The following is a 13,327-nucleotide window of genomic DNA, read 5'->3' as shown; positions in this document are numbered from 1 at the left end:
GGTGGTGCGCACCTGTAGTCCCAGCTACTCAGGAAGCTGAGTGGGGAGGATTGCTTGAGCCTGGCAGGTTGAGGCTACAGTGAGCTGTGATTGCACCACTACACTCTAGCCTGGATGACAGAGTGAGACCCCGTCTCAAAAGAAAAAAATATATAAAAAAAGCAAGAGGCCAGGGAGTAGGATCAATCAGAAAGCTGGGTCTGCTAAGTAGAGGGAGGGAACGCAGAGAGTGCCAAAAGATGGAGAAGGGGGCCACCCAGCTAAGAGCAGTGCTCTAGGGAAGAAATTCCAGAAGGATTGTAAAATGTGATCAAACATTTTGTCATGGTTGAAACAGAGAGGGCCCAAGGCTCTGGCCACCCACACATCCTCCTTGCTTTCATTGTCTTGGTATCTTAGGGAATGACACTGAGGGGCTGGATGTCAACTCAAAAGTTTTCCTCCAGAAGAGTTGGGTTCCAAGGAACCCAATTTTAGATATGGGAAGTAGAGCCCAATGCTACCACCAAGGATGATTCATCAAAGCAAAACTAGGGCCACCTATGAACACGATGATGATGAAATCATGCTCCAGATCATACCAGTGTCAGATATGAGCTGTACTCCTAATCTGGGTCATAATTATTACAGAGGCTTGTGTGTCACTTGATTTTTATTTTTATGATATTGGATTGGCTTTATATTATGATTGATTTAGTTAATAACACAAACCCCAATTATAACATGGTTACCCTGGAAAAATATCATCTACTTTGTGAAGCGGTTGCATGGAATGCACTGCTACCAAAAGCACTGGTGGGAAAAGGCCCACCCTGGCCCAGAGACAGCCACAGGACAGCACTGCAGGGACCTGGACAAAAGGCATGAACAGGGGCTCCCTGGTCAGAGCATGGCTACCACCAGCACCCAGTGACCAGCATTTTTCTCTCTACTTATAGTGAAATATGCAGGAAGAATGAGGTGTGTGAACCAAAAGACCCAGAATTGCAGCTCAAGATTAAATTATGAATGACATTAAAAGGAGCTCCAGAGCATTCAGGAGCCCATAATCCCAGTGCCAGACGGGCAAAGGAGTAAGATACTCAGTTGAGGTCAAAGAGAAATGAGGCAGGAAATGGGGAGCAGGGCCGCTGTTCATATTGAAGCAGCATCAATGAAGAATGGTTGACACTCTCCTTGCTACTGTCTTCAGCAGCTGTTGTAGCCTCAAAAAAGAAAAAAAAAAGTACCAGGCCTAGCTAAGAGAGGGGAGTATTCCCGACACAGGTTGATTCCTGACAAGAGGAAATACAAGGCTAAAACAAAAAATGGGGCCACAGTTTTCCTCCTATACCCGGTCAGACCAAATCAAGTTTCTTGACTCTTAATCCCTCCCCAAAGGAATAATCTTCCAATTTATGCCTGAATTACATACACAAAATGCCATAGAATGTGATGCAAATTCTCCAACAGGTGCCTTGTAAAAATTCCAACAGAGCCAGGCACGGTGGCTCATGCCTGTAATCCCAGCACTTTGAAAGGCTGAGGTGGGTGGATCACTTGAGGTCAGAAGATCGAGACCAGCCTGGCCAACATGGTGAAACCCCGTCTCTACTAAAAAGACAAAAACTAGTCGGTTGTGGTGGTGGGTGTCTGTAATCCCAGGTACTCGGGAGGCTGAGGCAGGAGAATCGCTTGAACCCAGGAGGCAGAGGTTGCAGTAAGCCAAGATTGTGCCATTGCACCCCAGCCTGGGCAACAGAATGAGACTCCGTCTAAAAAAAAAAAAAAAAAAAAATCCAATAGAAAAAGTGAGCAAAAAACATGAATAGGTATTTCACAAAGTGTGTGAATAGATCCAAAACATATTCAAGCTGACTGGGCATAGTGGCTCACACCTGTAATCTCAGCGCTTTGAGAGGTCAAGACCAGAGGGTTGCTTGAGGCCAGGAGTTTGACTCCAGCCGAAAAACATAGCAAGACCTTGTCTGTATAAAAAAAATTTTAAAAATAGCCAGGTGTGGTGGCATGTACTTGTAGTCCCAGCTACTGGGGAAGCTGAGGTAGGAGGATCTTTTGGGCTCAGGAAGTCAAGACTGCAGTGAGCTGAGAAGGAAGTCAAGGCTGAGTGAGCCACTGCACTCCAGCTGGGTGACAGAGTGAGACCCTGTTTCAAACAGGGGAAAAGAAAAAAAAGTTCTGCCAGCTAATTATTCCTCAGGTAATTGCAAATGCAGATGCAGCGAGATATTCTTTTACATCTACCAGATTAGCAAAAATTAAGAATGCTGATGATACCAAGTGTGGGAGAGGATGTGAAACTACAGGAATTATTTCACATTCCTAATGAGCATGTAAATTTTTATAAACAGTTTGGTATAAACAATGTGTCATTTTGTTGTAAAGGCAAACATGCATATAACCAGGACCTAGCAGTTTCACTCCTGGGTATAGTATTCTAGATCTGGGTGTTTTCAAACATCTACAATTTGGTGGTACAACCTTTTTTTTCTCTTCAGAGACAGGGTCTTGCTCTATCACCCAGACTGGAGTGCAGTGGTGCAATCATAGCTCACTGCAGCTTCCAACTCCTGGGCTCAAGCAATCCTCCTACCTCAGCCTCCTGAGTAGCTGGAACTACAGGCACACACCATTAAGCCAAGCCTAGCTAACTTTTTTTTATTTTTGTGGAGATGGGGTTTCACTGTGTTGCCCAGGCTGGTCTTTTTTTTTTTTTGAGACGGAGTCTCGCTGGGTCGCCCAGGCTGGAGTGCAGTGGCACGATCTTGGCCCACTGCAAGCTCCGCCTCCTGCATTCACGCCATTCTCCTGCCTCAGCCTCCCGAGTAGCTGGGACTACAGGTGCCCACCACCACACCCGGCTAATTTTTTGTATTTTTTAGTAGAGACGGGGTTTCACTGTGTTAGCCAGGATGGTCTCGATGGTCTCAATCTCCTGACCTCGTGATCCCCCCGCCTTGGCCTCCCAAAGTGCTGGGATTACAGGCGTGAGCCACCGCGCCCAGCCCAGGCTGGTCTTGAACTTCTGGCCTCAAGTGATACTCCTGCCTTGGCCTCCTGAAGCACTAGGATTATAGATGTGAACTGCTGCTTCTGGCCTCAACCAACTTTTTTTTTTTTAAACAAACAAAATAAAATTCAGTAGAGTGGAAAAACTTAGTATAGTAAGAGTAAGTTTTACCAGCCTGGGCAACATGGTGAAACCTTGTCTCTACAAAAAATACAAAAATTAGCTGGGCATGGTGGTGCATGCTTGTAGTTCCAGCTTCTTGGGAGGCTGAGATGGGAGGATCACGTAAGCCTGGGAGGTGGAGGCTGCTGTGAGCCTTGTGATTGTACCACTGCACTCCAACTTGAGTGCTGGAGTGAAAAAAAAGAAAAAAGAGTAAGTTTTGTTTCATAAATTGTTGGTTTCACATATGTGTGCACCATGTGTGTACAGTTGTGATGTAAAGTATTTATGGTACCTGTAAAATATGTGTGTATAAAACATATTACAGTTTTTTAAAGTTTGGAAACCAATGCCCTGTAGTGTAACTCTTTGACATACATACCTGGAGAAATGTAGAATGTTCATAATTCACAAGAGCAAAAAACTGCAGACAACTCAAATGCCCATTGCCAGGAATATGGATAAGTAAATTGTGGAGCATTAACACAATTGTCTATTACACAACAATGAAAAGGAATGAACTATATTGCTACATGCAGCAATGTGAGTGAATCCCAGAAACACAATATTGAGAGAAAAGAGCTGGTCACAGAAGACTAAAATAGTATGTTATTTTTATAAAACCCCCAACCAGCAAAACTAAACAAAACAACATATGCCATATGTGGCAAAACTTTTTTTTTTTTTTTTTTTTGAGATGGAGTTTCACTCTTGTTGCCCAGGCTGGAGTGCAATGGTGTGGTCTTGGCTCACTGCAACCTCTGCCTCCCAGGTACAAGCGATTCTCCTGCCTCAGCCTCCTGAGTCGCTGGAATTACAGGCACCTGCCACCACGCCCGGCTAATTGTTTGTATTTTTAGTAGTGATGGGGTTTCACCATGTTGGCCAGGCTGGCTTCGAACTCCTGACCTCAGGTGATCCGCCCGCCTTAGCCTTCCAAAGTGCTGGGATTACGGGCATGAGCCACTGTGCCCAGTCAACTTTTTTTATACCACATTTACTCCAAAAAATGTACAACTATGATATATCGATTAAAAAAGATAAAAGTTTTTAAAGGCAAAGAAGTCACAAATTTAGGAGAATGATTACCCCTGGAGGAAAGAAGACAGTTACTGGTAATGTTCTGATTCTTAAGTTGTTGAAAGTGGTTTTCCCATATGTTTATTCTATTATTAGTTTATAATTTACAGATAGATTTCATATGTATATATACATGTATGTAATACTTAAATCTATTTGATATTACATAAAACTAAAATTGATATAACCATGAAAACATCTAATGCACTGGCTCAAAAAACATCTGATTACAGTAAGCAAATATATTTCTTTCCCTCAAAATAGAGATTTCCATCAAAATCAACAAAAATGAACTAAAAAGGAGAGGAAGAAAAAGAACAGCCTGTCTAGGCTGTCGTCACTGGTTTTTTTTAAAGCATTGACTACATGGATCAGTACTTACTGTCATAGTTGGTAAATGAATCAGGCAAGACCCATGTTGAGGAGTAGAATGTTTTCTCCTGGGATCAACCTTTGAATGTTAAAGCAGAAAAGGTTCCAGAATAAATTCACCCAAGTTAGTAACAGACCATGTTCCCTGTCTACTTTTGTAGACTAAAACACATCATTTTCTTCAAGCTACATTTTTACACAAACCCATCTTTACCAGTAGGAGTGTAGCATGTAGCATGCACCAGACTGGACCAGGTTCTTTTGCAGACACAATTTTTTTTTGAGACAGGGTCTTGTTCTGTTACCAAGGCTGGAGTGCAATGGTGCAATCTCAGCTCACTGCAGCCTTGACCTCTTGAGCTCCAGTGATCCTCCCACCTTGGCCTCCTGAGTAGCTGGGACTACAGGTGTGTGCTGCCATACCCAGCTAATTTTTAAATTTTTTGTAGAGATGGGATCTTGCTATATTACCCAGGCTGGTATAGAACTCCTGGCCTCAAGTGATCCTCCTGCCTCAGCCTCCCAAAGCACTGGGATTACAGGTGTGAGTCACCAGTAGACACAATTTATTTACTGCTATCACTCAAAATTCAGTTGAAATGGACCTATTCTTTAAACTGAATACAAGCAGTGGCTTTCAGGCATGCATTTTGCTCAATAATTCATGAAGTATTCATGATTACTTATTAGTGAGAATAAAATAAAATTAGCCACATAGCAGCCCAGGAAATTTATCTGCCTAGGGTAATAAGCATTACTGCACTAAAGCAAATTTTCCTGTCTTAAAAGCCATCCCTAGTCCCAAGGATTTACTGGAATACAAGGATCAATTATGAACTGTTGGGCTTGCAGAGATGGACCAAACTTTCATTATCTTTGTGCTGTGGGTTGAATTGCATGTTTCCCCTACCCACCCCAGCTCACATGTTGAAGTCCTAAGCCCAGTACCTTAGATTTCCTTATTTGAAAATAGGGTCATTGTGTAATGCTTAGCATCGGGGCTCTGAAACTAGGGTCACTGCAGATGTAATTAGTTAAAGTATGATGAGGTCATACTACAGTAGGCTGGGCCCTGAATCCAGTAAAACTGGTGTCTTTATAAAAAGGGGAAATGTGGCTGAGTGCAGTGGCTCATGCCTATCATCCCAGCACTTTGGGAGGTGGAGGCAGAAGGATCACTTGAGCCTAAGAGTTTGAGACCACCCTGGGCAACAAAACGTGACCCCGCTTATACAAAAAATAAGAAATTAGCCATGTGTAGTGATGCACGCCTGTAGTCCCAGCTATTCAAGAGGCTGATGCAGGAGGATCGCTTGAGTCTGGGAGGTCAAGGCTCCAGAGAGCTATCGTTGTGCTACTGCACTCCAGCCTGGGTGAGAGAGGGAGACCTAGTCTCAAAAAAAAAAAAAGCTGGGGGAACACAGACACACGCACAAGCAGAATACCATGTGACAATGGAGGCAGAGACCAGGTGATGCGACAGAAGCCAAGGAGCACCAAAGACTGCCAGCAAACCAGCAAACCACCAGAAGTGAGAAGAGAGGCCTGGAACAGATTCTCCTTCTCAGCCCTCGGAAAGACCCAACCCTGCCAACACCCTCATCTTGGACTTCTCGTCTCCAGAACTGTGAGACAACAAATTTTGGTTGTTCTAATGTCACCGGCCAGGTCCAGGTCCGTTCTGCCTGTGCACAGTAAATCAATCACTGTGACACGGGTTTTGCAAAAGAGAAAAGATTTGTGAGGCTGCCAAGCAAGGAGGTGGGAGAACAGTTCTCAAATCTGCCTCCCCAAAGATAAAGCTTAGGGATATTGATGGGTTAGGGGAGTGGGGTTGTCTAAGGTGCAGGGAGAGGTGATTGGCGGTGGGGAAAAATGAAGTAATGGGTTCATGTTGTGCAAACATAGTTGGGGTTTGTGGCATTTTATAGGACATATGCACAGAAAATGGTGCTGCTAGCATGATCAGGAGGGTGGAGTTTTGGGCCCTCCAACATCAAAAGGCCACCTCTCAGGCACTCATGAGGGCCCAGTGCCTGCATCCTTCAATCCGAATTGAAGACTCCTCAAAATAAAACAGCTCTATTTGGGGGCATGAGCAATCTGTAATGAGGAGGAAAAATGAGGTTTTAGATGAGGACAAGAGACAGTTTTGGCACAGAGAGCAAGTTAGAATGAGGAGAGGACTAGCCGGATGCGGTGGCTCACGCCTGTAATCCCAGCACTCTGGGAGGCCGGGGTGGGCGGAAGAGTCAGTCAGTGGTCTCAACTAGTTTGAACTGAACAGGAGCGGGCCCAAGTTCCTGAAAAACAACCGAAGCAGCCATTACCATGGTAATGTATGAATGTTATATATAAAGTAGCCAGTGAAGGTTAAGTTTCAGAGTTCAGTGGCAAGACCTTCAACTACCACGGCCTTCTGCTTCATGGAAAAAGGAAAAAAGAAAAAGCTAGTGAGCAAAAGCAAGCAGGGCAGGCAGACCTGATCAAATTAACCCCTCGGTGCCACAAAGTCACCCAATTTGTGGTTTGTTCAGAAGCCCTAGCAAACAAATACACTTTGGTTCTTTAAGATTTAAGAAAATGCTTCATCTCTTAATGTAAATACTAAATATTGCCGTTGGGACTTCCGTAGGTTAACAGTCAATATTTAAAATTGGGAGACCTAGAATAAAGATTCTACTCTGGCTTTTAATTGGTCCCCTTCAGCCTCAGATAAGTCATGTCCCGTCTTTGGGCTGTGTTCTCATGTGTGACTTGGTCATGATACTAATATTTACCCCTCACCTCTCATAGTGCACTGTAAGTGAGCCCAGTGAAGTCACCCATGGGAAAGCCTTCTGTAAATTGTAAAGCCCTACACTACTATGTTAAATATTCTATTTTTCATCTATTGAAGTGCCGGCAATGATTATCAATTAACCTTCTAATGTACTGTACATATTAGGATGTTGAATGCTGGATCCCCAAATACTACCGCACAGCCTGTTGATAAGACATAGCCAAGTTCATTGCTTACTGTGGTTAGGGAGAACACCTCATCCATAGAGCTTTGATAGGGTCTTGGAGGGGAAAAGGTAAGGTTGGAATTTGTTGAGAATTTGAAATTTGGTTTAGTGCAGGTCTTTCGATGTGGCTTTGGTAGCATTGGGTAAGAATTACCCAATTCTTAATTTTTTGAAAGGGTGGTTTAGTGTTGGTGGCAACAGTTGGCCGAGGATTTTGAGACAGGGTTTCAAAGAATCTTAGGACATAAACAGTTGATGCTTTTTATTAAAAGAGTTGGAAGTTTCTGTAATAAACAATAAAGTTATTTGCCTGGGAAATCCCTGAAATAGAAAAGCAATTCTGATAAACACAATAGAATCATAAAGTTGGGTTAATGCAGACAGCATGTGGTTTTGGTCCTCATGTCCAAACTGTATGGCTGGGAATGGAGGGAGATGGTTTCCTTTCTCATGTATAAAATGTGGGTACAGTGCTTGAGTTATTGGCTGGTGCCTGCCCATTCCTTCTCTTGTGAGCAGGCTCAGCTTGAGATGGAGTCTCACTCTGTCACCCAGGCTCGAGCACAGTGTCACAATCTCAGCTCACTGCAATCTCCGCCTCTTGGGCTCAAGCAATTCTCCTGTTTCAGCCTCCCGAGTAGCTGGGATTAGAGGTGCGGGCCACCGCACCCAGCTAATTTTTGTATTTTTAGTAGAGACGGGGTTTCACCATGTTGGCCAGGCTGGTCTCGAACTGCTGACCTCAAGAGATCCGCCTGCCTCGGCCCCCCAAAGGGCTGGGATTACCCGTGTGAGCCACTGCACCCGGCCCGTCCTCTCCTCATTCTAACTGGCTCTCTGTGCAAGAACTGTCTCTCGTCCTCATCCAAAACCTCATTTTTCTTCCTCATTACAAATTCCTCATGCCCCCAAATAGAGCTGTTTTATTTTGAGGAGTCTTCAATTCAGATGAAGGGTGCTATGTAGACGATTCTGAAGGAAAAACTGTCCTCTGAAGAGGATGAGAACGTGTTCTCCTTCTTTCACCACCTCAACCATGGCTTCGAGACAGAGGGGCAGAAGGTCACTTGGCCCCCTTAGCTTTTGCTTCTTCTGCTGGGGAGACGAGCTAAAGTGTTCATGAGCATCAGTTGTGTTCCGTGTGATAGAGGTTTATTTATACTAAAAACAGGAATAGGGCTGAGTGCAATGGTATACACCTGTAATCCCAGCACTTTTGGAGGCTGAGGTGGGAGGATTGCTTGAGCCCAGGAGGTCAAGGCTGCAGTGAGCCATGATCATGCCAGTCTGGGTGACAGAGTGAGAAAACAACAACAGCAATGAAACATAGGAATAGGGTCCCTAGTTTAGAATTCAGATAATTTGAGTTTGGGAACTGGCTTCCAAGTCCCAGGTGGTCTAGGTCCAATTATTCTAGATCTGATTTCCTAACCTTTACCTGTTTCTAGCCCTCCTCACCCCAAAAGGTTAATTTCTTGCTTTAAAAAGCGATTTTGAAGAACCAGTAATTCTCTCCTTCTGGTGCTATCACAAGTGAATGAATGGCTCATTGTTAAAGAAGTCATTCCACTGAACAAAGCAATCTCTCCTTTAAACCAGGCTAGGAGTATTGGACCAAACATTATAATTAAATCAAGTATTCGTCTGCATTCCTTGTTATACAGCCCAGTGTATTCAGGCCTTTCAAAGTACTGAATTTTGGGAGTCCTATCAACATTATTTGCCTTTAATACAAATGAATTTATAAATGAGCAGGTAGTAAAGTACCACAATACTGTCTTAATTTTTTGAAAGGGTACTAAGACACCTGAGATTTTTGAAAACTGAGACATTTTATAGGGAAAAGTAGTTAGCGGTTTCCTGCATTGCTAAGAGTATTTGCTAGAGTTTAGGTTACCAGCACAATTATATTTTCAGTATATGACTAAATCCTACTTATCCACTTATAATTCCTGCTGTTTGGTGAGTGAGAAATAAAGATATAATTTACTGGCTAAGCCAGTCCTATAATAAGTGGAACACAGCAAGATATTCTAGAGAAGTAATAAGCACTTATCTTTAATTTCTAACACTTTGGTCAGGGAACTTGAATTGGTCCTGAGTTTGACCTTTTGGTGGGAGAAAAAAAGCACATCACTGGGTGTCCTTAAACTTTCTGCTAGGAGATGTTACGTTAAAAAAACTATGGTAAAATATACCTAACATAAAATTTACCATATTAACCATTTTTAAGTGTACAATTCAGTGGCATTGAGTATATTCACATCGTCATGCAACCATCACTACCATTCATCTCTAGAACTTTTTCATCTTGTGAAAACTGCAACTATACTCCTTAGACAATAACTTCCCATTCCCCTCTCCCCCAACTTCTAGCAAAAATCACTCTACTTTCTGTCTCTAAGAATTTGACTATTCTAGGTACCTCATATACATGGCAAGTGGAATCATGCAATATTTGTTCTTTTGTGTCTGGCTGATTTCACTTAGCATAGCGTCTTCACAGTTCATCTGTGTTGTAACGTGCGTCAGAATTTAATTCCTTTTTAAGACTGAAGAATATTCCACTGCATGTATAGATCACATGTGTTTATCCATTAATCCATTAATAGACACAGGTTGTTTTCACCTAAGATGTTACTTTCCATACCTGTTCATTTTCTGACGTCTCCCATTTCTAGATCGCTAGACAGAGTGGACACAACTGGGGAGTCGGAGTAGGGGGTGTGTTGGAGGTGAGGCAGGTGAGGAGAGAAAGAGGAGGCAGTGTGGGCAACCACATGTCTATGCTATGCAGAGTGAGGCAGAGAGGACCATGCTCGATTCAGGCTCCGTTACCCTGAGAGGCCAGGTAGGCAGCAGCAAGATCTGCCAGAAAAGTTCTACCAGCAGCAGTTTATCATAGGTATCCTTTTACCCCCGTGTTTAGAACCCCTGGTTTAAAGAGATTCAGGGCCAGACACAGTAGCTCACGTTTGTAATCCTAGCACTTTGGGAGACTGAGGTTAGTGGGTCGCTTGAGCCCAGGAGTTCAAGATTAGCCTGGGCAAAATAGTGAGACCCTGTCTCTTAAAAAAAAAAAAAAAAAAAAGGCCGGGCGCTGTAGCTCACGCCTGTAATCCCAGCACTTTGGGATGCCAAGGCGGGCGGATCACGAGGTCAGGAGATCGAAACCATCCTGGCTAACACGGTGAAACCCCGTCTCTACTAAAAATACAAAAAATTAGCCAGGTGTGGTGGCGGGCGCCTATAGTCCCGGCTACTGCGGAGGCTGAGGCAGGAGAATGGCGTGAACCCGGGAGGCGGAGCTTGCAGTGAGCCGAGATGGCGCCACTGCACTCCAGCCTGGGTGACAGAGCGAGACTCCATCTCAAAAAAAGAAAAGAAAAGGAAAAATAGCTGAGCGTGAGTACTTGTAGTCCCAGCTACTCGAAAGGCTGAAGTGGGAGGATTGCTTGTGGCTGCAATGGGTGGCGATTGCACCACCACACTCCAGCCTCAGCAACAGAGTGGTACACTGTCTTAAGAAAAAAAAAAAGAGAGAGAGAGAGAGCGATTGAGAGATTTAGGTGTCTTTAGAATTACATCGATATTTCTGGCTGGACATGGTGGCTCACACCTGTAATCCCAGCACTTTGGGAGGCTGAGGTGGGCGGATCACCTGAGGTAGGAGTTCGAGACCAGCCTGACCAATATGGAGAAACCTCGTCTCTACTAAAAATACAAAATTAGCCAGGCGTGGTGGCGCATGCCTGTAATCCCAGCTACTCAGGAGGCTGAGGCAGGAGAATCATTTGAACCCGGGAGGCACAGGTTGCAGTGAGCCGAGATCATGCCACTGCACTCCAGCCTGGGCAACATGAGCGAAACTCCTTCTCAAAAAAAAAAAAAAAAATTACGTTAATATTTCTAACTAATAAAATTCCACTGAAGCCTACCAGAAAAACCTTTAACAGAACTAATAAAGCCAGTGTGACAATTTTAAAGCGAAAGATTTATACCATTTGAAGAGAAACCAGAGTATAGTGTGACCATTTTAATCTTGTCCAGATGAGCAATTAGGGAATGCAAGTTCCAATCCCCCATTACCTCTGAACAGCAATGTTTTAAACCTGAGTTTTCAATTTGACTGAAATGGGATTATGTTACAAGTTCTTCATGAATTAAAAAAAAAAAAAGGAGGCAGTTCATAACATCAGGCCTTGGGCAAATTACGCTGTAAGACAGTCTGTAAGTAAAAATGTTGACAATTTCAGTACATTAACACATTCAACATGAATATTTTTACATCAATTTAAACACGAAAGCTTAAGTGTTGCTTCATTTGGTTTTCACAATAACCCTCTGGGGAGGATAAGGCAGGTATTAACAAACATTTTACAAGTGAGGAAACTACATTTAAGAAGAGCTAGATGACATATCTAAGATTATGTACCTAACATATGGCAGCATTGGGGCTGGGCGCGGTGGCTCTTGCCTGTAATCCCAGCACTTTGGGAGGCTGAGGCAGGCGGATCACTAGAGGTCAGGAGTTCGAGACCAGCAAGGCTGGGTGTTTCTAATCCTGGGAGAAGTGACAGAGGTAGGCTGAATACCGCTATGGACTGGGTGAAGTATTACTAACTTGCAAGCTGTTTTCATGTTATCTCATGTGAGACAAATAACATCATTTCCACCTCTCATCCTTGGAAACTAGGGCTCAAGTAGTTGACTTGCCTGGGGACTAGTGAGCGTAGAATGTAACCCAAACTTCCAACTGAAGTGTCCTCAACCTTTACCTACATTCTAGAAGCAGAAACTTTTTTTTTAAGTTTTGCTTATGGTTTTTCAAAGACAAGTGTATTCAGAATTTAAAACTAACAAAGGCAAAACTGCTCTGATCCAAGGGGCTAAGGACTCCAGAAACTTCCCCTAAGGGGGTGCTGTCCACAGGTTGACCTAAGGGATCCTAGGTGGAATCAACTGCTCGTTAGTTTGACCAGAACTTCCCAAGCCTTTATAAGCCTTACGGAAGCTCACTTTGGCGCCCTCTCTCCCCTCAAGCCATCAGGCTGGCATTTACCTTTTGTGCGGCAAAGCTGGTTATTTCCCACCTCCCCGCTCCACGCCCCCGCAAATCCTTCAAAACTGCTTGCTCTAAGAAAGTCACCCAACTCCAAATGGGGTTGTATCTCTCTGTTTCTGATGATCGCCCTGGGACCAGCCTTAAGTGGTCGTCGAGCACTTAAAATACTAAGCGCTACGCATATTAAATGGTTTGTCACCCAGAGGGAAAGAAAGGAGAAACAAGGGATTCCCTTTCGATGAGCAGGTGGAGTGAAAAGTAACGTGTGCAACTTGTGATTTCAACGAGTCCATCAATTCTCTCCCTAAGGGCCGGTGGCGGCTCCCGGGAAGGCCCCAGGGCCCCAACCCTCGGAGCGCGGCTGTGGCTGCGCCTGCCCCCTCCAGCCCTCCGGAGAGGCTGGGCTGCTGCGGGGGTCAGTCCGGGCCCAGTCTGGAGGGCCGAAGCACCGGCCCGAGAGAAGGCAGCATCCCCGGAGCCGGCGCGACTGAATGAAGCCTTGCGGGAAAGGCTGTAACCGAGGCGCTAGCGAGGCTCGCCTCCGTGTGGGGTGGCTCAAATGGCTGCGAGCGTTGGACAAATCACACCTCCTTTGTCTAGCACTGGGGGTGGAGAAAAAACTTCTCGGTA

The sequence above is a fragment of the Homo sapiens genome, chromosome 1 (genome assembly GCF_000001405.40).
Source record: "Homo sapiens chromosome 1, GRCh38.p14 Primary Assembly".
In the NCBI taxonomy this organism is placed as follows: domain Eukaryota; kingdom Metazoa; phylum Chordata; class Mammalia; order Primates; family Hominidae; genus Homo; species Homo sapiens.
The sequence above is the reverse complement of the archived record's forward strand: the minus strand, read 5'-3'. Positions refer to the sequence as shown.